The sequence below is a fragment of the Homo sapiens genome, chromosome 1 (genome assembly GCF_000001405.40).
Source record: "Homo sapiens chromosome 1, GRCh38.p14 Primary Assembly".
Classification (NCBI taxonomy): Eukaryota; Metazoa; Chordata; class Mammalia; order Primates; family Hominidae; genus Homo; species Homo sapiens.
In genome coordinates, this window is record NC_000001.11 from 36,837,157 (window position 1) to 36,864,848 (window position 27,692).

Sequence of the window (27,692 nt, forward strand, 5' to 3'; positions counted from 1 at the left end):
CGTCTCCACCTCCCAGGCTCCCTGCAGGATGTGCTGATGACTCCTAGAGCTCAGCCTCCAGCCCTGCTCCTTCCTCCAAGTGCCCAGCCACAGGGCCACCATCTACAGGGACCCCAATCCCAACACATCCCAAATGGACCTCACTATGTTTCCCAAATCCTCAATTTCTCCAGGGGGCTTTTGATGTGAGCAGGACACCATCACCTCCTTAACTGTCCAGAGTAGAATTCCATGCCCTGTCCGCAACTCCTCGCTTTCCCCTACCTCCTCTATCCAACCAATCGGGAGCCTCATCAGTTCTCCTGCTTGTCTGCTGGCTGTGCATCTACTTCCCTCCTTTCCTAGAGCAGCACTCGCCCTGTTTGGGTCCCAGCGATGGCTTCCATACTGGCTCAGGTTTGGCACAGCAGCAGAGTGACCTTCCTCAAGTGCCAAGTCGATGTCACCCCCTGGCTCCACTTCAGTGGGTTCAGATTCTCCATAGCCCTCGGGATTAAAGTCCAGTTCCTCGGTTCAGCACCCGAGACTCTTCAATGCCTACCTCTTTCCCCCTTCTCCAGCAGCAGCTCTCCTCTTGGCTCCAGGCTCTCCACTCTTGGGGTTCTGCCTCTGCACTCCCCAAGTGGGCTCCTGGGCACCTGGTGCCAGGACACAGAAGCTCTGGATGGCAGATGGGGACTCCCAGTGTCAGAAAAGTCCAGTGCCCCAAGTAAAGTAAGAAGGTGGCACCTTGGTGGTGCCTCAGTTCCCTGTGTGTCTGATCAATGTGAGTCAGCTCCTCGAGGCTCCCTGTTTGGATCCAGTGGGGGTAAGGTCTAGGTCCTGGACTACTGTGGCCTGGCAGGATGACCACGGCTGAGGGGCCACCCTCCCACCACCATCACATTTAATCATGGACATACTTTAGACAGGGAGGCTGTCCCTGGAAGGAACAGTGATGAGAGGGACAGCTTCTGTGTACTGAGCATTTACTGAGCACTGGGAACTTGGCGAAGCATTTTGGTGCCATATCTCATTAAATCTTCCTACCAATGCCAGGCAGGAGGCTCTTTTGTTATCCCCATTTTGTAGACATGGAAATGGAGGCCGGAGAAATGGAATAACTTTCCCACTGTCAGCTGAAATGTGCTAGACTCAGAATTTGAACCCATTTCGGTTAGATTCCAGAGTCATCAAAACACATGGGAATAATTTAAGGTACGGATGTGAGTAGAAGATTTTTGAAAGAGGAAACAGACAAGTAGGCAGTAAATATAGACAGAGGGAAATTTAGATGAGAGATGGGGGATGGAGGGTATAATCACTGCTCTGTCTGATCGTGTTTATTGTTGTCCCTATAGTTCAAGGTGACTTGCGGCAGGCGAGTGTGTCAGCAGAAGGCGATGCATCCTCTAGCCACCCCATCTTCCTCTGTAACCCTTGGAAGACCATGTGGCACGGGACAGAGGCGAGCAGGGAGTATCTGGGAAGGGCTTTTTAAGTCCTGTTGGTCAGAGGCTCCACCCAGGGCCTCCAAATGGGCCCCGGGGGGTGGACACTTACAAAGGTGGGCATTCATCATCTTTACGCCTACATTCAGATCCCTAATAAGGAAGTAATAATATTGCCAAGCCTTTGCATGCTTTCTATGGGCTAGTGAGAAGACTAATTATCTGACGACACTAATATATGGTTATGATGTTATTAAAAATGGCACCAAGCTAGGATTAATAGGCTCATCAATTGTAGGGAATTGGGCTTAACAAGGTCCCCTGCATGTCTCGTCAGGCCTGTAACCCTGATGAATACTGGGCTTCCCAAAGCACCGCCTGGCTGCTCGGAGGCCGTGGACGACACTCCCTCCTTTTCCCAGCTGAGGGTCAGCTTAGGGAGATCAGGCTGATGCTGGGCTTCTCTGATCACATTCCCTTGCAAACAGCTCTTCAAAGCTGTGGGGCCACTGGAGATGTTGTGAGTGGTGAGGGTGGCCCAGCCCTGCTCACCTCCGCACCCAGCCTCCACCTTCCACGTGATCTTCCTTCTCCCCTGCCCAGCTTGCCTCTGCAAATGACAGCCTCAGAGCCTACCCAGAGCCCCAGACTCCAAGCCCCACTCATAAACGCAGGGGAATGGATAAGATGGAGATGCCTCTGGGGCCTGCTGACTAATTTCCATAATAATTATAGTTATTACTAATAACGGTGACAACACCACTCCCTTCCGTTTATATTGAATTCTATAATCTAGAAGCTGCTTCCCCACCAGTTGTCTCCTCTGAGGCTCACAACAAGCTGTGAAGAATGTGGAGCAGGTATTATTATTCTCACTGTCAGGTTAGGAAAGTGCAGCTCAGAGAGATAAGGGGACTTCCTGAAGCCCCCTCCCCAGCCTCCAAGGAATAGTTGTAAGGATAAAAATAAAAATAATAATAGTAAATACTGACATGGTGATGACATGTAATACACTATGTTGACTTAGTCCTCCTAACAATCTTATGAAGTAGGTCCTATTAATATCTTTTCCCTTTTACAGATGCAGAAACTGAGGCACAGAGAGGTTAAGAAACTTGTCCAGGAATGCACAGCTAGCAAGCGGAAGAGTTTGAATCAAACTGAGCTCGAGTTCATGCTCTTGACCATTTGAGTCTCCTATTAGACTTCCACAGGAGCCCAATTTGCTGGGGACTAGGAAGTGACTCCACTGGGCCAGGCTCCAGCCTTCATGCCTTGAGCTCCAGCCTCCCTCCCCACTTGCGACCTCCAAGGTCTCTGTAGGCAGCTCCCCTCAGACCGAGGCAAGGGGGCTTAACCGAAGTCCCTGATGCTGTCTGCTCCCATCCTGGAGAGGTGAAGTCATAACCTTTGGCTGATACTCTGTGGGTTGCAAAGATCTCTGCATGAACCTCCCTCTGTCCTGGCCCCTGGGGTCAGGATGGTTCTTTGCAGAAGCTGGAACACAGGGCTACGAGGCAGGGAGGCTCCAAATTCTGGCTCCACCACTTCATCTCTTTCTGCCTCAGTCTCCCTATCTGTAAAATGGGTGTTAATAACAGTACCTACCTCACTGGGCTTTTATAAGGATAAATGAGAGAAGGAATCTAAGGGGTCCAGTATGGATCAGGTCCTTGAATTCAGCAGCAGCTCCTTGATAGAAAATGCTTCAGTCAAGTTGAGGGCCCTGAGCTGGAAGGCAGGTCATGTTTATTGTGTGCCAGGTAAGCCTGTGGAAATGGTGCCTTATTTAATTCCCCCAACAACCACAGGAGCTACGGTAGTTGCTAATGACTCCTATTTTAGGCAGGGCATGGTGGCTCATGCCTGTAATCTCAGCACTTTGGGAGGCCAAGGCAGGAGGATTACTTGAATCCAGGAGTTTGAGAACAGTCTGGACAACAAAGTGAGACCCTGCTCTCCACCAAAAAAAAAAAAAAAAAAAAAAAAAATTAGCCAGGTGGAGTGCCTCGTGCCTGTAGCCCCAGCTACTCAGGAGACTAAGGCAGGTGGCTCACTTGAGCCCAGGAGTTTGAGGCTACAGTGAGCTGTGATGGCACCACTGCACTCCACCTTGGGTGATTCTGTCTCTAACAACAGCAACAATTACTCCTATTTTAGAAATAAAGAAATTGAGCCTTAGTGAGATTGATGAACTTACCCGGTCACACAACAAAACTGAGGCTTGAACCCAGACCTGCTGGGCCACAGCCTGGGCGTCTGAGAACTATGATGTGTTTGCTCACAGCATCTTACCAGGGACCCTCTTACTGAACTTACTCTAGGCCCAGTCTTCTGCCACTATGACAACAATCGCGTGAGGAAGGGGTGTCAACATGCCCAATTTACAGAGGGAGAAACTGCTCAGAGAGGTTGAGTGACTTGCCCTTGTTCACAAAGCTAATGAGGAAGAACCGGGACTCGAGCCCAGGGCCTCCTAATTCCTCCCTTGTGGTGGTGTCTCCAGCCTGTGGCTTCTCCCTCTTCCTCCCAATGTCTCAAGAAGCCCAGGTACACCCCCCACCCCCTCACCTGCCTGCTTGGGCTCCCAGCTGTCCTCAGTCCTCTCCTGATCCCAGGCAGAGGAAGAGGCTGACTCCCTGGTGCTTCCAGCCAGGCCCTGCTCATCCCTTCTTCCCAGCTCTCAGCTTCCTGGACTCCCACTAGACCCAGAGTTACTCAATGCAGTGACGGGTTTCTCTCTGTGTCCAAGAATTTGGTGAAGTGTCTCATGTGGGTGCCTTGCCCCATAGCTGGGGCATCCTCTGGTGGTTTTTAAAGGAGCAGAAGATACCAAGAAGCCACAGGCCTCCTCCAGAGCAAGTTCATCAAAGATGCCAGTGGGGCCGGCTCTGAATCAGATGGAGGCCAGTGCATCTGTGTGTGTACGGAGGAGAATGGCGTTGGGAGTATGAGCAAGGCAGCCCATGAGAGCTGGGGTGCACTTCCTTCAGCTGAGGCCCCCCAGTCCTCAAGGTTGCAGCATTCATCTCCATCACTCCTGTCCCCAGGGCCTTTTTCTGCCAGGCTGCCCAGCCCTGTGGTGCAGACAGTTCTAGGCCAAGTCTCCCCAGGGTCCTGAGCCCTCCCATGCTCCCATCCATGCTTACGTGGTCGATGAGCTCCTTGACCATGCCGTTCCACTGGCCCTTGTCATCCTGTGCCCCGTACTTGCCGTCCTCCACCAGCCGGATCTCATAGGAGAAACCAAGGATGTGGGCCAGCTCCTTTAGCAGGTCGATGCAGTAGCCCTCGAACCGGTCATTCCCGTATAGCGTCCTGTCTGATTTCCGAAACATGACGAAGGGCTCCTCCTGCAGAGACAGATGGGCAGGGTGTGACGAAGACTGAGCAGCTAGGGCGGAGGCAGGCTTGCACTGGAGAGTCAGGGCTAGGACCTCTGCTCATGTTTTTATAAACCCCTTGGAGTGGCTTAGACAAAGGGCCCGTGAAGTCAGGAGCGGGAAAGCACATGTCCTGAGAGCCAGCTGGGGGCCTCATGAATGGCTACCTGGTACAGGGCGGGAGCTCAGTAGGCACTTACTGATTTAATGGCCCAGTGGTTACAGAGCTAGTGAGCGGTGGAGCAGGGCTTTGAACTGGAGACCCATCCCAAGGCCCATGGTCTCTTTGCTGCACTAGTAATAGAGGCTCAGCGTGTGGTCCCTGCACCTGCAGCATCAGCATCACCTGGGAACTTGTTAGAAATGCACATTCTCAGGCCCCACCCCAGACCTAACTGAACCGGAAACTCTGGGGAGAGCCCAGCGATCTGTGTTTTCAGAAGCCTTCCAGGGAATTCTGATGTCCACTCAAGTCTGAGGACGCTGCTGTAAAAAGCCCTTCAGAAAGCCGTCTGCTCTAACTTCTCTTCCAACTCCAATTTAAAAGATTAGATTTACATGCTCCTGGATGCCGTTCTCTCTTTCCAAGAACCTCCTCAGTCCCCTGTGTTAGGATCCCAGGGGAGTGATTACTGGTAACAGGGACAGCTCATCGGTAGGTGGCTGTGCCGGGCACTGGTCAATTAGCAAATGAGTTTATGCCCATGGGGGGCCTAGCACAGAGTCCAGCAGAGCTCAGCAGACAGGAGCTGGTATCGCCTCATTTCACCTTAATGTCAGCCCTCTGGGGTGGGTATGAATAATCCCATTTTATAGATGCAGAAAGTGAAGTTCATGAGGATATGTGAGTTGTGCAAGCACCCCTAGCCGGCATGAGAGAAGATCTGAATTCAGGTTAGTGTGACCCCAGAGTGCGAGTTCTGTGCCTGAGGCCCATGGTGCTCCTCCCTCAGGGGCAGGCGATCCCCAGGAAGGTGCTTGTGGGTCAGAGATGCCTGTCCCATGCCAGACCCCCCACCATCCACCCCCTCCACCTGCCACAGGCTTCTTTCTTTCTGGGTGATAGGGAGCCTGGGACCGGATTTGAACAGAGCATGACTTTGTCTGATTTCTCATTTAGAAACAAACCCCTGGCAACCCTGCAAAGAATAACTGGGAGAAGAGGCAGAAGAGCCAGTGGAGAGAGGCGATCCACTTCATCCAGTCGAGATATGCAGTGTGAGGAACTGTGGGCTCCGATGCAGCAAGTCCGAATCCAGGTCAACACGCAAGTCCACGCTTTTGCCGGCACCGTCTATCTGGCTTCACTCACAAAGCCCCATCCCGTGTCCATGATGGATGCGCTGAACTCCCAGAAAATTCAACACAATTGAGTTCCTACTCTGCACCAGGCACTGATTTAAACTCTTTGTCACAGACTGTTTGACTTAAGCCTCACTAGCTTGCAAGATAGTAACACTGTCCTTATGTGATAGATGAGGAAATTCAGGCTCAGAGAAGGTCAGTAAGTTGCCCAAAATCACACAGGAACTGAACTACAGTGATGGGATCCAGTTCCAATCCTTCCCAGTCAGCTGCACCTCTCTCTGGCTTGGCTCTCCTGTCTGTTCCCTGGGGTCAGACCTTCCGGAGTTAATCTGCTTTTCCAGATCCCCAAATCAGGTAAAGGGCTGCCATCCCAGAGCCTGTTCCTGGACAACTCTAGTCTTCTTCTGACTCCCCTGAGCCTCCTTCCTTCGCCCCCTGCCCTGTTCCTGCCTATAGCTCCTAGGCCTCTTTCTGTCAGCCAAACGTCCCCAGACCTGCCTCAGCACCCCAACGTGACAGAATGTCTCAAGCCTTCAGTGGCTGTGTGACCATGGTTAGCTGACAGAATGCAGGAAACCAGGAAGCTCATGTCTGCATGCCCAGATTAAGGCACATGCTTAACTATGGAGGTGCCTCATCCTTCACTCAACTGGCGGGGCCATTCCCTTGACCTCATGAGCCCCAGGGTGGGATGGGCAGTGGAAGACCCGGTGAAGACCTTTGTCAGAGGTCCTAGGAGCAGATGCTCACCAGTAGCCTCCTGCTGGGCTCCCGCTGTGGCGGCAAGCTTGAGCCTTTGGCCCTCTCTCCCAGCAGTGCTACTTCTCTAAATCCCATCCTGCCCCATGCTTGATCCACTGGAGCTTTTCAACAGTCCCTTGGGATGCTTCAGGGAAAGAACTGGTGGGGGTGGGGCAGTCTCTGAATCCCCAAGGGATTCCCGACTAGCCAGGGATTCTGAGTCTAACTGGGTAGGAAGCTGGACCCTCGGCTAGGCGCCATGCTTAATCTCAGTGCCTCTCTCACTCGCCTTCCAACCAAGCAGGCAGCTCAACAAGGTTGGAGAAGAGTCCACGTGGGGCCTGGGAAAAGTGCTGAGGCTGGAGGAAGGAGGACATCGGCTGGTCCATGCACTGCCTTCATGCAAATTCATCTCTGGGCAATGCTCCTGCACCCTGGCATGGGGCCTGGCGAGCAGGGTCTTTTGGTTGATGCTCTTGTGCAATGGACAAGTTGCACCACTGCACCTGGTGGCCCTGACTTTAGCTGATGGAAAGGATCAGAGAGAAGGTACCATCTTTCCCAGAGGATCCACCAACCACACACAGAATCCTAGGCAAAATTTACCTCCTTCTGTAAAATGGGGAAAATAATAGAACCTGCCTTACAAGGTTGTTGTGAGGATAAAATGAGTCAGTCTACGAAAAGCACTCAGAATAGTGCCTGGCAACTGTTAGCTGCCAATATTATTATTATTATTAATCATTATCATCCTTATCTTTTTCTTGTATGCTATTTGGCGGGTTACTGCAGTGACCTTTGCAGCCTAGAGGCCACACCCAATGCATCAAAGGTTAAAACTCATGGTTGATAGCGGAAAACCATTTCAGGAAAGGTCCCTGAGATAGCTCACTTCCTGACCCTGTCTTCACGCCCCTCCCTGGCCTGATCCTCTAAAATTAGCACTTCATTTGTGAAGCCACCACAGCCCCAGAATCTATACATCTCCATATAAATACGCTGCCTTCAGAGCAGCTGTAAAATGCCATTAATTTCGGGAAGTGCTTTGCGGATGGCATACATATTTAACAGCCAAAGCCCAGAGCATTAAAATGGTGCTCGCCTTAGTAATGTGTCTCTAGACCTGCAACATTTCCTAGGGGGTAATTCTGAACTCCGCCAACTACTTATTCATGGACTATTTCACAATTTATTACTGGAAATGTCCAGACAGCCAATTCACAAGCTCTCTCGGCTGCTAATCGATTGCTCAGTGAAGGTGCCCTCAATTTCATAACTTCACGCTCTTCTATTGCTCTGGGAGAACAGCCATAGGAACAGGGGTAATATTTCTCTTCAACAAGTCACGGAAAACAGGGGTCCAGAAAAATAACCGTTTCTGACTTTCCGTTGTCAGGGCTCTTGGTCCGGTTTCTCTCCGATCACTTACCCCAGCGTGCAAGCCAGGCCTAGCGCTAAGCCTCTCCCAGTGTGACAGGGTCCATGGAGTTGGAAGAGGGAGTCTTGGGGGTTATCCCCAATTTGGGAAGGATCCAGGGATTAGCTACCTGATATCTGGGTTCTGAAGCTCCTTTCTGACAGGTAACGTCAGCCCATAGCCACACATGCACGCACAAGTATATACAATGTCCTTGGCACAAATGCACCACATTTTCAGATGTCCTGTCTGCCTAGCCCTTCTCAGACACAGAGGCCAAGGACCTTGGACCTGAGGCCTTGGCTTCAACCAGTTAGAACCAGCACACAGTATCAGGAGTCCTATTCTCCCAGCAGGAGGGGCCTAGAATCGTTCCCAGCCTGGGATAGTTCTCCCAGCCAACACTCTAGCCCCAGGTTTTTCCCCTCTCCTGCTGCTGGGTGCTGAGTGTTGGGCTTGCCTGGCAGGCAATTGAGCCTATGTGGGTCACGATGTGCACACGGCACAAATGCACCCATCACTGAGTATCCAGATACCCGTGTGTAGCTGGTCCTACACCCACCCACACACCCGCACGCATGCCCACACCGTGACACCATGGCTCACATCGGCAGCCAAACGAGTCTTGAACCTTCAAAAGCTGGGCCCCCAAGAGTGGGCCGGGTGTGTTTTCTCAGTGTGTGAGCTGAGGTTTGGGCAGATGAATTTTTCATGAGCTCGTGGAAGAGCGGAACCAGAACAGAGGCTGGGGCCGGGCGGTGAGAGGGCGGGGGAGGGCAGGCGTCCAGTCTCCTGCTGCTGCTGTTTCCATCTCAGGAATGGGGAAGGCTGCCAGTGGCTCTGAGGGGCCAGAAAGGGCAGTGCCAGGGCTCTGTCCATCTGTCTGTCCAGGGTAAGGCATCTTTAGCACCTAACGCTGGGGGTTTAGGAGAGGGGAGAATAGCAGGTAGGTTTGGTGGCAGCTCACACAGAGCTGCTGCTTTCTGCCACACCAGATTCCTGGGAAAGAAAGGGGAGGAGAAACTCCCCCTTATCAGGGGTCTTGGATCCAGGCCCTGTTCCCTAGAGGCAGAGCAGTTTGATGTTGTGTACTGGTACCTTGGGACCTGCCTGTCACTCAAAGCACTGTTGCCCTGACAACATCCTCCCAGACAGGCTGGGGCTGTGCTCTCAGCAGGAGGTGCTGGCCCTACATTCAGGCTGCGAAGCATGGGGTTGGATTTTCAGCCACAGTGGCTGGGGCTGGGCCACTCCCTGTCACCTTTTAGCTGTCCCAAAGAGCCCAAGCCTGAGAGCATCCCCTAGGGCTCCAAGACATGCAGACCATGCAGAGCCTTTTGGGAACATTCTCTGGAGCATCTGGAGCAGCTCTAGTTTCAGGGGGCCCTAGGCCAGTCCTTGCATGGGAGCGAGCATCTCTCCTCAGGAGACTCCAAGGACACTTCTGGCTAGACAGACTTTCTTGGAAGCCCATGTAAAGACTGTGTCACATCCTCTATCCCCATCAGGGATACTCCAGAGGTCATTCCCTCCATTCCCCTGCCTCCAGGAAACAGTAGGCTTCTCTCACTGCCCCATAGGGGGAAGCACACCTCACCCTCCGGTGATCTCTGGGCAGTGGGGATGGAGACAGCTGAATCATCAGTCACCCCCAGGCCATGTGAGTATTTGATACTACATGATGGGGTTAAGATGGTCAGTGGCCCCATCCATAGGCGGTGGGATATCTGCTTCAGGAGCTGAGACCGTGGCCAAGGTAGAAGGTGAGGTGGTGGTTGATCTGGAGTTCTATATCTCAGTAGGAGACTAGGACTATGAGGGACCCATGAGGCTGCAAACCCTAATGCCTCCAATGGCCAGCTGAGAAACACAACTATAAGAAGCAGCCCAGTGTAAACAAATAGGGAGGGCTCGGGGGCAGAGTGGGGGACTATGGTGAGCCAGGGAATGGCCATGAAACTGGAAGGCACTCAAATGCAAATTAAGTTTGTAACAGAACAGCCTGTGCTAGAGATCACCTCTGTGGCCATGGGCAGGGGTCTTTGGTGAAGTTCAGGGCTCTGCCTGTGGACAGAAGTGGAGATTTTCTCAAGATCTCTCACTCAGCATGCTGTATTCAAGCTGAGCTCACTGGGGACTGGATTTGTAATCAATAATAATGAATAACAATAGCAGCTGTCACTTAGACCGCACTCTGTGCCACTTAATTAATCATTCATGCTCTGAACTCTATGAAGTAGGTGCAGTTATTAACACCTCCCTTTTTCAGGTGGAGAAACTGAGGCACAGGGCGGATAAGCAATTTCTTAGGGTCATATGGCAAATCAACATCAAAGCCAGGACTCCACCCCAAAGGTCTGTGCTTTTGATCATCAAACTGTTCTTTCCTCATGTCCTGGTGGCACTGCATGTCCCAAAGAGCTCTGGGGTTGTATCTGCCCAGATGCCTTGCAGCTGAGAGGCTGTGGGACAGATGGAGCTGTGACCAGGCTATGAGCCAAGAGGGGTTCTCTGCTTTCCTAGCCCTGGGCTACCTAGGAACCAGCAGGATACTGGGAATGCAACCTCTGGGGATTCAGTGAGCACAGCAGGTCGGGGATCTTTGCAAGAAGCTGCAAGTATTGACAGAGAAGCTGTAAGCACTCACAGGTCGAGAGCATGGGGTGTCTCCTGGATTCTGCCTCTGCTTATGTAGCAAAAATCCCCTGTGCCCCTGCAGAAGGGTTTTATGCCCTTGAAATCAGGCTGCTACCATTTTAATAAAATTTAACCCCTTGATCTTTCAAGGTGCTTATATTTTGTATCCTTTTGGTATATTACCTTTAGCTTGCCTCTTACTGTTCAGAGTATTGTTTTGTGACTGACTCACCTTAGCTCATTTAATCATCTCTCTTCCTAATCTCTTAAATCATCCTAGTTTTACCTTTTTTTAATCTTGCCTTGTGAAAAGTGTTTTATTTATATCTCACATTTTATGCAGCTCTGCTTTTAATCTTTTAGCACCTTTTTATTATTTTATTTTTACCCTTTTATATTTTAGCTTTGTCACACTTTTATCCTTTTGCTTTTTGACATTTGGGTGTTACATTTTTTACCTTGTCTAGTCAGAGCTATAAATTATTTAATTTTTCATCTTTCTTACTATCTTTCCTTTTTATCTCATTCCTTATCTTCATTTTCTCTTTGTTATTTTCCTTTTAACCTTTTTATTTTGTTCTCTTTTTAACCCTCCTTTATCTTTTCTATTTTTATCCACATCAATATCCCTTTAATTGCCCATTAGTCTTCACCCTAATCCCTTTGCTCTTGTTATTTGTTTATTTTCATCCTTTACATTTTTACATCACAGGTTTTTTTTTTTTTTAACCCTGTTCCTCTTGAGATATTTTTGCTTATTGGTTTTAGCAGACTGATTTTTATATTTGTTTAGTTAACAAAAAGTTGATCAATAAAGGCCAGCAGGATGTGAGGTTTTAGGGAAGAAGATAGTAGGGGTCTTGCCCCAAAGAGGGGGACAGGTGTCCCCTAAGACCACCTCTTCAGGCTCTGTGGGCAGCTTGTCTGGAGCCACCGTGAGATCTCCATCATCTTTAGCTCAGATCCTCTCAATCATCCTAACCCCGAGGGCCGATGGTGAGACTCACAGGCTAACATTTATCTCTGGATGCCGACAGGATGCCTGGTATCTGCCACTCACTGGGCTACCTGGAAGAATGGTTTTTTCCCCATTACTTCCCTTCCTGTTCCATGACATCTGCCACCCAGCCACCAAGCACATATATGGTGAATCATCCCAGGTAGGGCCACCCAGTAGGGCCTGGTTCAGCTGCCTCTGAGGGCACATGGGTGAGAACAAGCCCCATCTGAGCACCGTGGAAGGGGCCAGGTATAGGGTGACCAGTCTGTCCTGGGTTCTGCTCCAAGGCAGCCTCACTATATCCAAAACGGGTTGAACTCCCTTTTGTGTAGAGGAATGACCCCAGCATATGGTCCTTATAAATATATTTGCTTTATTATGAGTCAGAGCTGACTAGAGCTAGCATTGTCCTCAAAGGGTCTTCAGTCATAATTCACCAGGCTGTGACTGGGCTGCCTCTCCCCAAGATGGCTCGGCTTGAGCCCCCAAAAGCAGGGCTGTGTCCCTGAGAGGATCTGTCCTGAGTCTCTGGACACCTCTGAGGCCTTCCAGGAGGGACAGGCACAGGTGGAGTGGGCACAGCCCTGGCAGCACAAGGGGGTCAGCAGCCTGGGTCTGTCCTCCTGCCCCCGCATGAGCTCAAAGGTGCAGAGAGCCCATGGGAGGCCCCCAGAGTTGCTTCTTGGTTTGAAACAGGTCAGGAGAAGGCGGTGCTATTCAGTTGGGGAATAGAGAGAAGATGGGGTGTGATTCCAGGCAGGGGGTGTGGCAGTGGCTGACGGCTCTCGGAAGGGCCACTATAGAATGCGGCATGTGTACAGGCTCCCAGCACCTGCTGGGCTCTCGAGGTGTGGCCACAGCACCCACCACAGCTGGGGTGACTTGTGGGAAAGGCTTTTGCCTGGGAACTGGGGTGGGAGAGGCGAATCCTCACTCAGGTTGCAATGGGCTGTCAAACCCCCTTAATTCCACCATCCAGCATGGTTCCTACTCAGACATCAAGGACTTGGGGAGTGAGTGGGAGTGAGACACAAAAACGCAGCGGCTTCCGCCCGTGGCAGCGAGCAGCGCTGCTGCGCTCCAGCTGCTCTCTGAGAACTTCCTGCTGACTCTAAAAGTCTCCACCTACCTGCAGCCTCCATCTTCTGGGTGGGGGGGATAGAGGGGACTCTCCAGCCCGAACGGCCACCCCACCCCCAGGTCGGACAGTCCTTCCTGCAGGGGCTGCAGGCTCTTACCAGCACTGTGGTGACAATGAGTGATCTGTTTGTCAGAGAGTCGGTGACATTAGGGCCTCGGCCTTTGGCAACCTCAGTGATGTTGAGCCCGTCGGCAGGACTCCACACCCCAACCTGGATGGACACAGACAGAAAACAGGGTGCCGAGTCCTTGGTCTACCCATCTTCCTCCATATCGACAAGACCTTCATCTCATTCCCATTCATCATGAGCCTCATTGTCATGATCATCATCATCATCACCACTGCCATTGTGTTTCCAGTTATAACCGTTCTGGACAACATCCCTGCAGCTCTCCCTCCTCTCCTGACGAGGGTCCCAGGGTGTCGAATCTCTGAATTCTGCCACCTCCCTTGCTGGCAAGCCCATCACAGCTGAAGGGGAAAATGCAGAGAGAGACAGCAAATGCGAAGGCAGCCCCAGGGGTCTCAGGGCTGAGCAGATGCCAATCAGGGGCTGGAGGGAATCAGGGGTCTATGGTCAGTGCCAGGTCTTGCCCTGGGACACAGTCTTTGTGGCTGTTTTGGGGTGGCAGCACAAGGAGGGGATGGACCTCACTGGGAAATGCTGCTGGGTTTAAAGGCAGTTTGCTTTGTGGTTTTACATTTAAAACTGGCAGACACACAGACTAAGGTAGAATAATCTCTCTCTCTACAGCGTCCTTGTGGATATCGGGCCTGAGGCTAGAGGTAGAGAAGGAAAGGTCAAGTTTAGAAATCATCCTAAAGCCCTGGGCCTCTTGAAGATCCTTTTTGACCCAACTCTGGCCAGCTCTGCCTGGTCTCAGCTCCTCTCACTCAAGGAAGGCTTCTGCATGCCCACTCTGTCCTTGGCCCAGTTAGGGGGGCTACTCAGGACACTTAATCAATTAAACAGAGAGGCTGAATGCAAACATCCCATTAAGAGAGCTGCGCAGAGCAGACAGCAGAGAGACATGTAATTATGCTTGGGTAATTCTGCCTTAATCCTCCCAAAGCCACCGGTTGGAGCTGGCTGGATCAGCTATGACCCGGCTTAGCAAACAAGTGATAATATGAGAGGCAGAGTAGCTGTGTTTGGGAGCTCAGCATCCTCTCAGGGCGGGATCCCTGCCTACATAGACCACCCAGGGCCTTGAGGAGAGGAAAGTGGTAGACGGCATCGAAGAGGCTCTTCTCTTAAGTGGGCTGAGCTCAGAGCCAAGCTCACTTTGAGCGTGCCTAGCAGAGCACCTGGGTGCAGGAGGTGCTTGGCAAACATCTGTTCAGAGGCCACATGAAGAGCACAGACCCTCACTTGAGCTCCAACTGCATGCTCTGTTAGATACCAGGTGCTATGGAGATGTGAGGCCAGTTAGGACTGAGGAGGACCCAGCCTGTGGAGGCTCTGTGCTCACAGTCCGGGTGGCTGTGACCCGGTGCCTTGGTGAGTGCCTCTGGCAGGCTAACCTCTGCCCAGGGATAATAGAGTTTTTCTTGAGTATTAGCTACGGCCAATTTGAACCAGCTGCCTGGAGGGCTGTTTGGAGAAGGATGTTGCAGGTGGGATCAGGTGGAAAGAGTACTCAAATGACGGATTATTGATGCCTTTTATGGCACAGGGTGGGAAGTAGTGGCATATGTGCCACCTAATTGCCCTCCCTAGAATTTTAGGTTATCCCTAGAGATGGGTAGCTGAGAGAGCAAAAGTGGGACAGCTACTTGAGTGAATACTGCATTCACTCTAGCACTGCCAGAGGAGGAAGGGTGCTCTCCATCACTGCAGGAGCTTAAATAGAAGCTGGAAGATCGCTTGATGAGAACTCATAGAGTTTGTGTAGGGTTGAGCAAACTGGCCCCTGTGATCTTAGGAGGGGAGGCCACAGCCCCTGTTATTAAGGGACTGATGCTATATATGGTGTGAAATAATTACAGAGTAATAGGGAGGCTTCCCCAGCCACCTCCTCCCTTGCACAGTGGCTCCCATGAGTAGGTGGGAAAGTCGGGAGAGACTGGAATAACTGTGGCCACAGGTACAAGGAGGACAGCATTGAGCTAGGCAGAGCCAGCCTTTGCCTGAGGGACAGAGGTCACATCCTGCAACCAGGGCAATTGTGTGGGCAATGGCCTGGAGGTCCAGGAGGGAGGGAGCATGATGGGGCCATGGGGTATGTTTCAGGGAAATGTGGAAACGAGGCCCAGAAGGGCCAGTTGGTGCATTTCTTGGAGAGCTGAAGTTTAATGACTTGGCACTAGGGAGCCATGGGCAGTTTCAGAGCAGGGCAGAGCTGTGCTTGGGGAAGCCTCATCTGTGTGTACACTCTGGATGGCTGGAGGGCTCAAGAACCAGGGCGGCATGTTAAAATAATCCACATAAAATGCTTGAACCAGGGCACTGCCGGGGTGGAGAGGACCGAAATCAGAGTCTTGAGCCCCAGAGGCATCCGAAGTGGCCCCTCCACTCTGCTGGCTTCTGCTCACTACATTTCATACACAGCAACTTGCAGGGTTGGGGAGGTGCCCTTGTGGCTCCCAGGGACCCACTTGCTGGGGACAGAGTGTGGCTGAGCCCCCAGAATCCAGGTCCCAGGGGATGCTGTGAATTGAGGGCTCGTATTAAATCTCCCTTCTTGGCCCAGCAGCCTGACATTGACAGAATATGCTGAAGGTTCCCAGGGACTGGGATTGGCCTCATTAAAACATCTCTATGTTAGCCAGATGGGAGGCCCCAGCCCCAGGCAGGCCCGCTTTCCTGGTCCAAACTCTCTGGAATCGCAGAGGCCTTAGAAGCCCAGAGCGAAGGAGCTCAGAATCCATGTGCTTCAACCTCTTTCCAAGGGAAAGAATCACCTTCAGTCTCCCAGACAAGCAACTGCTCTATCTTTGCTTAAATGTCTCCAGTGACAGTGAGCTCACTACTCACAGGGGAGATACTCTCTGGTTAGAAAGGTTTTATGTTTTTTATATTCTTAAATTTTTACCCAAGAACATGTCTGTCCTTCTGCTCCATGACAGCCCTGCAGGGACTCAGAGACAGTCCATCCACCCCATGGGCCTTTGTTATGCTTCCGAGGTTAGGCATCCCCAATGACCCTTACTCACAGAGTGACAGTGTGGGTGTCTGCTGCAGCCAGGCCACTGGCTTCTGTACCCTCCAGTCCAACCAGGCCTTCTTGTTCTCTGATGGGCCCCCAAGAGCTACAGGCTACACTGGACCAAGTCAATCCCTGAGGGGCAGCTGGACTGTGTCTTGCCCCTTGCCTCTGGGCCTCTGACTGAGGTCTGCCCTAGGAGATTTAAGAAGCCCCTGCTCCTCCGCCTGCCCTCCCTCTCCTGAGACCACGCACCTTCTCCAGGCCATCCTCTTTCAGGCTGATGATGTCCAGATCAAAATCCGTCCGCAAGCCACTAGTTTTGTTGAAAACAATTCGTCCAGTTAATCCTTCCCATTGAGCCTGCGGAGGGGAGAGGGCAGAGCGGCAATTCCTCGGGCTTATAAATCATCATTCGGTACAACTGTACAATGCTTCATTTTAATTACTCCTTGCACTGATACTGTTCCCCCAAGACCATGATTAATTAATAATCACCTCCATCATTGCTCGGGCTGCGGTGTGAGCCAGCGATTTCCATAAATTCTATTATGCTCTTTAGCCAGCTTTACATTTGCACCTTCTCGTGTACAACATCGATCTTGGATGCGCTCAAATGAGCCCCCGCCCTGAAGTCATGGGAAGGGGGAGCCCATGTCAGATCCTGGGAGATGGGTAGGGAGGCAGGCGGGCAGAGTAGGGCAGGTGAGGCCTGCCAAGAAGCAGAAAAGCCAAAGGGCCAAGCTGGCCTTGGCTGTAGAACCAGACGCTTGGCATAGCCCCCCGAAAGGCAGGGGAGACCGAAATCACCCCCCAACCTCCCAGCTCCAGCCCCATGTGTGCTGTGGTTAAGAACTCTGGCGTCTGAATGCTGGGTCCAACCACAATTAGCCGTGCGACCTTGGGTATTTCATTTTACCCGTCTGCCCCAGTTTCCTCATCTGTGCAATGGAACTAATCATTGTGTCCATCTTACCAAATGCTATAAGGGTGAAATGAGATAAGTCATATAAAATACTGAGAACGGTCCCGGCACAAGATGAACACTGGATAAATGGTAGCTTTTTTGTCATTTTTGTATCGTCATTAGCGTCATTAATAACACAGAGAGAGGAAGGCAGAGGTTGGGGCAGACCTAAAGTGGGAAAAGCTCCATCTTCTACATCAGGGGTTGGCGTCCTATGGCTAGCGGGTCAACCTGGCCCCTGGCTGCTTCTGTAAATGGTTTATTAGCTCACAGCCATGCCCCCCGTGTTTATATATTACTTGTGTGCTGCAACTATGGAGTTGACTAGTTGCAGCAGAGACTGTGTGGCCTGTAAAATCTAAACTATTTTCTATGAGCCCCTTTACAGAGAAAGCTTGCTAACTTGATTCTAGATAACATCTTTCCTGCGGGCTGAGAGCACTGAGTCTACGTGGTCCTTTCACACTGTTCATGCCGTGCAACCTCCACAGCAGCCATGGGAGGTGGCCACGCAAGGATCATGGTTCCCACTTTACAGACGAGGAAGCAGACCTCAAGGGGGCCATGGGTCGCCCAAGCTCACAGAGTGAACAAGAGGCAGAGCCAAACTAGAACCCGTGATCCCAGGACCCCTCGGTCTGGACCTGTTTCCCTCCTCCAGGAACTTAGGACGGCAGCTGGTGCACAGTTAAATACCCGAGCTTTCTGTGTCAGGGGCAAGAACAAGGCCCACACATCCTGGAGTCCTTGGGAACAAATGTGCACTTGGGAGCAAGAGGAGGGGAGAAAATCTGGGAGCTCACACAGCCAGATTGGGCCAGAGAGAGGGTAGGGGAGGGAGGGTATCCGGAGAAGAGGCACGGGGCAATGGAAGGTCTGAGTAGTGGGAGCCTGGCTCCCAGTCCTTGCTTTGCCGCATTGGGTTCCTAACCACTCCGAGCCATGCTCCCTTGCAGATTCTGAATCGGGCTCCACAGCCTCTCCCTGCGGAATGCCCCCAGCACCCATGCATACACTCACAGTTCAACCCACAAGGTCAGGGGTCCACAGTTCCCTGGAGTTTCATTGACAAATCCCAAATGAAAACCCTTAGACATCTCCAAGCACATGGGCAGCTCCAAGGTACTTTTACAGGTAAATGGGTAGTTGGGTAAATGTGCATATGCAAACTCAGGCAGTGGGGCTGTGCTTTGGAGGAGAGGGAGGCTATAAAACCAAAGTGGTTAGAAAGTGGGCTCTGCACAAACAAAGCAACCACTCTGAGCTTCAGGAAGAGAGAAATTACCTACTTCACAGGTATAAAAAGGCATATAGAGCGCTGAGCACAGTGCCTGCATACACAATCACAAGGATGTGACAGAGGTTATTATTTCTCCTTCGTGGCTTCCATCTGTGCAGCTCCCTTAGATTAGGGCTGGCCCTTGGCTGGGAAGGGAGGACCAGTCACTTGGGCCCTGGCCCAAGGCTCCAGTAGAAAGCTGGTCACAGAGGGCTATTATCCTTCCCCACATGAGCGCATTCAGTCCTCACTGTGACCCTGCCAGGTGGGCATCAGCATTGCCCCCATTTTGCAGATGTGGACACTGAGGCTCAAAGAGGGACTGAATGATGCAGGTCTCAAGTATTGGGTGGGACAAGACAGATTCGTTGCAGTAGCAGTGCTGAAAGTCCTGGGGTCGAGGCACCTAAGGTGGAGTCGGGGAAGCTTACATGGTGCCTAGGGAGCTGGGGACCGAGGGGTCGGGAACAGAGATTAAAAGATGCATCAGAGAAGGTAAAAGCCACTGTTTATGACTTCACAGGGAAACTCAGCTTCCCTCAGGCTGGCTCCCCAGTCCCTCCGCCTTCTCTCCTCTGTTGGCCTCACGCCTTCAGGCTATCTCTTGGCCCCCAGGGGAAATCACAGCAGGTGCCTTCAAACCTGCACTGTGAGGGAAGCCTTCCTGCCTGTCAGCTACAGAGGTATAAAATGCCAGCAGGTGCACGGCCTGTCTGTGGGCGGGTGGACAGGGCAGGCCAGGGAGTGCAGGCAGCTCCTCCCAGTGACATTTCCTGCGCTGCCCGCCCCCTCTAGCCACCGCTCAGGACTTGCTAAATGAAAGATGCTTCACACGCTCTGAACTCCGGCCTGGTATTTTCCAGCTCCTCTCGGAAATGCCAAGTCTTTAAAATGATTTACTGTCATGCAATCAGATGGGGAGACGGGCAAGTTGGAAATGGTCTGACGGAGGACTGTGCTGGGGTCGGGCAGGCATCTGAGGTTCGGTTGTGGCCAGCTGTGGGACCACAGGTACCACGGGGCTATTCTGGGCCTTAGCCATGTCCATGGATGTAAAATGGAGATAGGATAAATGTTTCTGAAAGGGTTCTGTGAGGGAGTGTGAGCAGTGAGGGTCACTCGTTGGGCCTGGGAAGGAGAATGGAGCTCCTCTTTCTATGGTGGGCAGTGGTGAATCTGCTCCCCTCAGGGACTCACGGCTGAGCCTCAAAATTTCCAAGGGTTGAGGGGCAAAGTGTAAACAGGGTGGGTGTCCCTGAAACAATGTGGCCTGGAGACCTGGTAGTGGAACCCCATTAGCAAACAGGAAGGCACAGTGATAACAGTAGCGATAGTGGAAGTAACAGTGATGGCAGCCAACCTGTTCAGCACCTGCTACGAGCCAGGCGTTGTCCCTAGTGCGACACACGTGCCAAAACTCACCAATCCTCAGAACAACCTGATGATAAGGTGCTATTTTTATCTCCACTGGACAGAGGAGGACACTGAGGCACAGAAAGCTTCAGTAGCTTGTCCAAGGTTATCCAGTTAAAAAGTGGTGAAGCTTCCAAGTCACTTTTGTCTGGCTCCTAAGGCTCCCAAATTTCCCGATTGAGCCAGAGGAGCAATAGGATCGAGGTGTGGCCTGGGACACCGACACCCTCACAGTGGCCTCACACAGTGGCTGCTCAGCTGGAGGCCTGCTGAGGAAGGGGGTACAGGGGGCCAGAAGTCAGGTCTCAGAGTTCCCTGAGAGCAAGCGGATGATTGCCCAGCCAGGGCCCTGCTCAGGGCATTGGACAGTGGGATGTCCTGTGCAGTTTTGAGGGATGGGAAGCTGGATGAGAAGGGATCATCAGGCCCTCCTATGCCAAAACATCTGGGACTGGAGTCCCTTCTAGGGGTGAAGGAACTACAAGGGACTCCAGTCAGGCACTGAATTCATCCCTCACAATAACTGTGAGGTGGAGTTTGCCGGGTGTGGAAACTGACTCAGAGATGTCCCATAACGTGTCTGAAGCCACACAGCTGGGAAGAGGTAGAGACGCGATCCAAAGGCACATGTGTGGTGCCCTAAAGCCTGTATCTTATCCACATTTATTGTTCTACTGTGTGAGAGGAGCTGTACTTGGCCTCATCTGGAAGCAGCGATGGTGAACTTGGGACCTCAGGGGAAGCTGCCCTCCCTCAACCCCCATCCAAGGTGGGGAGTTTCTCTGCTGTTTGCTCTCGTAGAGCTGCCTTTATTTACATATGGGATTCTCTCCTTTAGTGCTGTGACCTGATGCCTCCCTCTCTAGGATCTGCATGTGCACAGGCGAGTCTGTTTTAGCTCTGTTGGGCCCCCAGGGCATAGCTAGGAGCCTGGAACCCAGCTGCCAGTCACAAAGTGGGATTGAATAAATGAGTGTGCTCCTAAGAAGGCAGCTGGCTTCATTTCCGGCCCGCTGTGATTGTTACAGAGAGCTCATTTGTCCTTTCTATCCCGAGTCCTTCTAGAGGGCTTCCCCCACTGCCCTTGGTGTTGCCTTGGACATGGTCACTCCCTCTGGCCCAGGATGACTCTGCCTAGATCTCATACTCCCCAATTTTCTTTGTCTATCATCTGCTGGGATTTGACTCTGGCCAGGTCCTGGGTTAGGTGCTTTGCACATAGTTTTTCACTGTCTTCCCAACACCGCCTTCAGGCAGGCACTCACTATATCATACTGAAGATCAAAGAGTTAATCAGCTCACCCAAAGTCACATAGCTAGTTGTAACAGAGCCAGGATGCAAGTTCAGGCCTTAATTTTCCCCATCCATAAAATGGGGACAATAAGCCCTGCCATCCAAAGCTTACAAGGACAGTGGCAGATGGAGAAGCCTTTGAAATAAAAGTAGGCACTGTGTGTTCCATGGTCTAGGCAGCAGGACAGTTTCCATATTCTCTGGTTTCTCTAGAATCAGCTCCATTGATGGGGTTTTCCACAGGAGAGCTGGTACCAGGAGAGGTGGGTCCCAGTGGGGGTGCTGGCTGGGAAGTTGGTCAGTGGGCCCATGATGTGAAGATGAGTTTGTGGGGCTGATTATTATGTATTGACCCTCCTCCTGCACTAAGCACTTTCCACGCAATGTCTAACTTCATCTCACATGCCCACGAGGTAGGTTATGCTTCATATACCCATTTCACAGATGAGGTGACTGAGGCTCAGCAAGGCTCTCCAGCTCGCCCAAGGTCATACAGCGAGGAAGCAAACACCCTCATCTGTTGTACTTTCAAGCCCACGCTGCATCTTGCTGGCAATGCTGACCAGCTGCTGAGCACTTACCACATGCCCAAGATGTATGCCCCTCAATCATGCCATAAGTTTGGTCCTATGGAGCCCATTTTCACACGGGAAACTGAGGCTCGGAGACATGAGGCAACTTGCCTGAGGTCACATGGATGAGAATCAATCCTTCCTGACTCCCAGACCACTCTGCTGCTCTACAGGGCCCACAGTCCCGGGGAGACAACACTGGTGGGGGCTGTGGGGCACTCACCTCCTTGATGAAGTTCATGAAGCGGCCGCCAAAGCGCCAGGCCTTGTGCCGATGGCACTGCAGGGAGTTCACGGTCATCTGTGGTGCCCGCTGGTAGCACACGGACACGATATGGACGGCGTCGTACAGTAAGGCTGCATCAGTCTGCAGGGAAGGGCCTGCCTGAGAGCGGCTCCCAAGGCCCTCCAGTCCTCAGCCCACCCTGCCCTGTCCCCCTTCTCCTCCCTTGCCACAGGTACATGATGTCCTGGTGAGCGAACAGGCCCAGAGGCCCTGGAGGTGACTCTGTCTACGCCTCTGAGGAGTGGCCAGGCTTGGCTGACTCTGCTGCTCTACAAACATCCTGAGCACCCCCCTCTGCAGCTTAGACCTTCTCCTGCCCACCCACCCCACCCCTGCTACCTAGGCCCTGACCACACCTTCTTCTTTCTGCCTTCTCGGCCTTCACACCTGTGTGTCACAGCCTGAGTTCCTCTGTGACCTGCATCTCTGGGCCTTATTCCTGTTCTTTGTGACCTTTTGCTTACATGTCTGGATCCCCATCAGATGGGTCCCTTGGGGAGGGACTGTCTGTTTCACGTTTGTGTCCCCAATCCCTAGCCTGGGGTCTGGCTGACACATGGAAGGTCTCAAGAAGAGAAGTGGTGGAGGGAAGAAAGAAACAAGAGGAAGGAGAGAAGAAAAGAAGGGAGGCAGGTGGGAAGCCCCTGGAATTCACCTCACCCAGCCGCCTTACCATCATCACTCCATCCAGCAGGCCAGACTCGGACCGGGGAGCTGCCTGCAGCCGCTCCATGGACCACTTCTCCACAATGGCCGAGACGTGTGGGTTGTCCACATTGAGAATCCGGAATCCTGTCAGGTTCACGCCTGAGTAGCGGTAGGGCTCCAGGTCTAAAGCGTAGAGATCCTGGATAGAGAGAGGTCTGTGTAAACCAAGGCATGCTCACTGCTGAGAACTCCAGCCCCGCCTCCTACCCACTCCCTAATCAGGGCCGCCCCAGGGCCTGAGGTCGCAGCTCCCTGCAAAGCCCTGCAGAGGGGGTGCGGGATATCGGGGTAGTCACAGGAGCACCCATAGGACCACTGCACCTGGAGTCTGACTCAGAACTTGGGCAACTGATCCTCCATGCTAACCAGGGGATCTCAGCCTGTTTCTTCATCCACAAATGGGGTTCAATCCCCTTTCTAGGACCCAGTGAAATAGTTCACATAAAATACCCAGCCTCACATGCAGAGGAAGCTTAATGAGGCTGCTTCCTTTCAAAAGGGGAGACCTACTAGTTCTGGGCATCTTGTTACACAGAGGGAGGCTGAAGGGAGCATTTTATCCCCTAGAAGAGGATATTTAAAAATAGTCTTTTCTGCCTAGGACTCAAAAAGTATGGCCCTCTTCTCTCCCCCTTTTCCCCCGATCCCAGCCAGGACCTCCTCATCCCTTGCCTCCTAGGAGCAGCTGAGCAGCGGTCAGCCTGTCTGTCGTGGGCCAGGCAGGTCCTGCCAAGGGTCCAGGAGAACAGGGTCTCAACGCAGGTGAGGCTGGCTGTAGCCCCGCCCTGCAGCTCTGGGTCTGGGGGCAGGGTGGGCTGGTGAAGGAAGGAGGCAGAGAGGGGAAGCAGGTGGAGGGAGAAGCCAGGTGTCCCTAAGCTAGGAGAGATGGCGGCAGAGGACGTGGCAGGTGGGAGTGAGGAACAAAGCTGAGCTCTGTCCTGTTGAAAACCACGCAAACCTGGAAATCAGGCAGAAGGGTAGCGGTGCGTTTTTCCAACATGACAATGAAACATAGTTTACCAGGCCCTCCAGTATTACTTCATTCTTCTGGAGAATGCACCTGGGTTTGACTTCATTGTCAGCTACTTGTTAAAAGCTCAGACTCTGGGTTAATTTGCAGAATTTTGTCAAATAGAGGAGATACTCCCCAAGGTTGTGGTTTTATTGCCTTACAGGACATTAATCCATTTTCTATCCAACCTAGAAGTCTTAGTCTATGCTCCCCGCAACCCTACCTGAAATACCTATAAATACCCAATTCCTCAAATGCTCCTTGAGTCAGCTTTTCCATCCTACTGGTTCCCTCGTTAGTGAGTTGAATCCATCTCTGACGCATGTTCCTTCTATATTTGCATAAGACTCATGGTTTTGATTTTTTGAAATATATACTTGCACAGTCTAGATTGGCCCTATCCCACTAGTGGGGAAACTGAGTCTTGAGGTCACTATCTGAGCTCCTCCTCGTCTACTGTCTATACTCTCCCACACTCTCCCCTCACTAAGCTGCCCTCCTTCTGGCCCCCAGCCTGTCTTCTCCCCTGGGCCCCCCACTTAGTCACTCCATCTGGTGCTGGGAAGGAGAGGCTGGGGACACACTTGGGGTGTGCTTGACTCTCTGTGACTGCCACCGTCATGGGGAACATCCAGCCCCATCACAGCCGCAGCTTTAGTGAAATCAACAATGACTCATGGAAGGATGATGAGTGATAAAGCCTAGAGACCTTTCATGCTGGACTGGCTTCCTCTGGTCTCTGAGATGTCTCTAATGGGCACTAAACTTATCCTGTTCCTCCTGCATCCCCAAAGTGGCCTCCTTCTGGAATGCACTGTGTTGGTTTCCTCTTCAATGATTTGGGGAGTAGGGAAGGGGTTTGGAGCAGACTTGAGCCCAGGCAAGAAAGTCTGGTCCCAAGCTTGCCCAAATAAATATGGCCTTGATTCCAGGTCAGGATCTGGGATGGGGAAGGGGCTGGGTGACAGAGGAGGGAGGGGCTTCAGCAGATGCGGGCTTCCCTCTGAGATGGCCAGAGGGTGTCTCTGTGGCCCCAGTGTCAGTAGGGAGTGGGGGGTGGCAGTGCTCAGCCCTGCACAAGGACTCCATGGCTTCATCTTCACAGCCCCCTGTGAAGTAGGCATTGAATAGCACTCTATTCTATTTTTATAGATGAGAAAAGAGAGTTGGAGAGGTGAGGTGACTTACCTAAGGTCACATAGCTCATACAAGTCAAAGTTGAATTTGTACCCAGGTCTATTTCAATGGTGTGCTGCCACTGGCTCACACTGGCCAGTGGGAGCTGAATGTTAGCATTTCTTCCCAACTCTGCCTTCAGTGACATTACATGGCTAGCTTGGTATTGGCCATGGTAGGAGTATTTGTACCATGGACATTTGCAGGCATTACAAATCAGGATTTCTGTGTTTTGTCTTTTTTCTCCCTTTCAGAGAGCTGGTTGTTAAACATTGACTGATGCATCGTTGATTGTCTTACTCCAAACCCTCTATGTTCTATGTCCTCGGTGGGTGTCCAGGACAAGACATGCATCAGAGCTGTCTTTGGGGATTTTATTTTTCTAGAATATGAACCACACCTAGATAACGCTGATGCATAGTCTGTGGTGGAGCCTGGAGTCTGTGTTTTGAGAAGCCACTAAGCGATTACTCGTGACTGAGAAACACACACAGATGGGTCTGGGTTTAGATCAGGATGCCTCTCGAATCAGAGAAGGGCAGCAAAGAGGGGAGAGAATAAATATCCCAGAAGAAGTCTCCCTCCCTCAGCTCCTCCAGGGCGGCTCCCTGAGGTGGCCAGACATGGGCCAGACCACCTGGGCTCGAGTTTCACCCTCTCTCCTCATCTCAGTTGCCTCATCTGCAAAATGGGGTTGAAAGTGCCACCTACCATATAGAGTTGTCAAGGAAAATAAGTGAGTTTGTAGATGCCCTTAGAACATGTCTGGGACATATCAAACATCATGTATGTGTTTGACACATGTTTATGTTCTGCCTCGTCTGGCAGGAGGTTGTGACAGCTACTGGGTACATACAGCCCCCAGGGCAGACATAGGTTGGTGTCTTCCTACCTTACTCGTCTTGGCAATATCAGAACAAGCAAAGTCAGCTCACATTTACTGAGCACCTACAAATCTCAGAATGGCAGGCATTGTTCAAAGTACCTTACTTGTATTAACTCATTGATTCACATGGGCACACGACTAGGATGGTGTTATTATCACCCCATTTTAGAGGAAAGAACTGAACCACACAGATATTAGGCCTTTTGCTCAAGGTTCTGTAACTGGGGAGTGACAGAGTCAACACCAGGCTACCCAGCTCCAGAGCCCTCCCTCTTCCCTATGATGACGCATCTCCTCCTACCGAGAGGCTCTACCTGCCCAGCCCCCAACTCATGCCCACTGCCAGGGCAGTCACCCTCTGGGCAGGGACTAGAGGGATCTTTCTAAGGTATAAATCCAAGCCTGTCATTTCCACACTTCAAATACTTCCATGACTCCTTGTAGTCTTTTCAGAATATGGTACAAATTCCTTAGTACAGTTTTCCAAAGCTCTCCACCCCTCCAGGCTCACTTTCCTTCCTACCCTCTCAATTTTTTTGTCCCAGGATGCAAGTTCAGGCCTTAATTTTCCCAGTCTCGCTGGCCCCTGTACCCTTTGTCCTGCTTCTCGTCCCTCTGTTCAGCACCTTTGTATGCCTTCTATTTCCAGGCAAGAATGCTTGTCTTCTTGACCTCTCTTGGGTGAGCTATTCTCCAAGAATCAGCTCAAGTATCACCTCTTCCAGGAAGCCCCTCCTGATTGCTCCTGTACACATGCACAACAGAGTGCGTCAGACGCGATTCTGCTCTTATCCTGAGACTTCTGGGCTTTCATGCCACTGGTAACAACTGCTTGTGTCTGGGTCTGTCTCCCCTATGAGCTATGGGCTGAATATTCCTGTTACCCAAAGTGGAAAGAAGGGTCAGCCAGCTGAGTGGCTCCTGGGGCACTTAAGCATCACTGAGAAGAGCCTGGAATGTAGCGACAAGTGTTTCACATCCTCCTCTCAGGGGCAGCTTCAAGGAAGGGCAGATGAAAATACTAGGTTAGTGCAAAAGTCATTGTGGTTTTTGTTATTATTTTAATGGCACCAACCCAATACCCTCCCCATGATATAAGTGTTATTGCCGGGAAGTGGCATTAGTTGTCATTGTTTATCTATTAACTTATTATAATAGTTCTTTTTTCACCTCTAGGCTTTTATCTACATGTGACATGTAGCAGGGGCTCAGCTGGGGCTAATTAACTCAGGGTTATCTACAGACTGGAAGTTTAGGAGAGGGTTGGTAAACTGCCTGGGGTGGAGGATGAGATCTTCCCCAAACTGCCTTTCAACCAGGAGGGTCTGGGGAGCTGGAAGGATTTCCTTTTGGACAGTGGTGTTATGCAAGTTTGGGGCCAGGGCTGACCTGCTGCGACCATGGAAGAGAAGCTGAGCTCTGCCTACAGGGGGCGCCCTCCTCACCTTTCCTTGCATGGCATTCAGTCTCTTCTCCAATTCAGTGTTGACCTGATATCTAAGGCTTGAAAGATGCCAAAGCTTTAGACTGCCCAGGGCCTCCATGACTCGATTTACCCTCATCTAGGTAACCAGAGGCCAACCTGACTCAGTGTGAAGGGCAGCATCTCTGGCCTTGGTGGGAGCTTGGGTGCTGGTGGAACCAGCCCTTCTGGTCTCCAGAGGCAGCATTTGGTCTGTTGAGACTGACACAGAGGCTGCAGCTGATCACAGCCCGGGAGGGGGCAGGTTGGGGTGGTAGTGATTGGGATGACCTTCCTCCCTGTAACCCCTGAGCCTGGGCTTAGCTGCAAAGTGTTGTAGGGCCTGTGGCACAGAGTGCCCCCATCCCCGTGATACGAGGACAATGACAATGGGGAGCTGGTGAAGAGGCTCTTTTGTCCAGCTCCATTTTTTT

At 51.8% G+C, this 27,692-nt stretch overlaps 1 protein-coding gene across 1 annotated transcript in view, besides 3 other annotated features; it reads right to left on the reverse strand.

The window, feature by feature from the left end:
- Positions 1-27,692, reverse strand: part of GRIK3 (glutamate ionotropic receptor kainate type subunit 3) — a 238,989-nt gene that overhangs the window by 41,630 nt on the left and 169,667 nt on the right. Inside the window, exons 6-10 of the mRNA NM_000831.4 lie at positions 22,688-22,861; positions 21,952-22,095; positions 16,459-16,566; positions 13,155-13,268; positions 4,580-4,783 (exon numbers count right to left, since the gene is read on the reverse strand). Coding sequence (NP_000822.2) covers positions 4,580-4,783; positions 13,155-13,268; positions 16,459-16,566; positions 21,952-22,095; positions 22,688-22,861 — 744 coding nt within the window. The remainder of the gene's footprint in view (positions 1-4,579; positions 4,784-13,154; positions 13,269-16,458; positions 16,567-21,951; positions 22,096-22,687; positions 22,862-27,692) is intronic.
- Positions 4,155-4,724: an enhancer, noted in NCBI's record as "H3K4me1 hESC enhancer chr1:37306912-37307481 (GRCh37/hg19 assembly coordinates)". NCBI's record gives its function as "activates a minimal SCP1, AML or CMV promoter by ChIP-STARR-seq in naive H9 embryonic stem cells {active_cell/tissue: H9 hESC(naive)}" and the evidence as "EXISTENCE:reporter gene assay evidence [ECO:0000049][PMID:30033119]".
- Positions 12,748-13,247: an enhancer, noted in NCBI's record as "H3K4me1 hESC enhancer chr1:37315505-37316004 (GRCh37/hg19 assembly coordinates)". NCBI's record gives its function as "activates a minimal SCP1, AML or CMV promoter by ChIP-STARR-seq in naive H9 embryonic stem cells {active_cell/tissue: H9 hESC(naive)}" and the evidence as "EXISTENCE:reporter gene assay evidence [ECO:0000049][PMID:30033119]".
- Positions 21,627-22,485: an enhancer, noted in NCBI's record as "H3K4me1 hESC enhancer chr1:37324384-37325242 (GRCh37/hg19 assembly coordinates)". NCBI's record gives its function as "activates a minimal SCP1, AML or CMV promoter by ChIP-STARR-seq in naive and primed H9 embryonic stem cells {active_cell/tissue: H9 hESC(naive and primed)}" and the evidence as "EXISTENCE:reporter gene assay evidence [ECO:0000049][PMID:30033119]".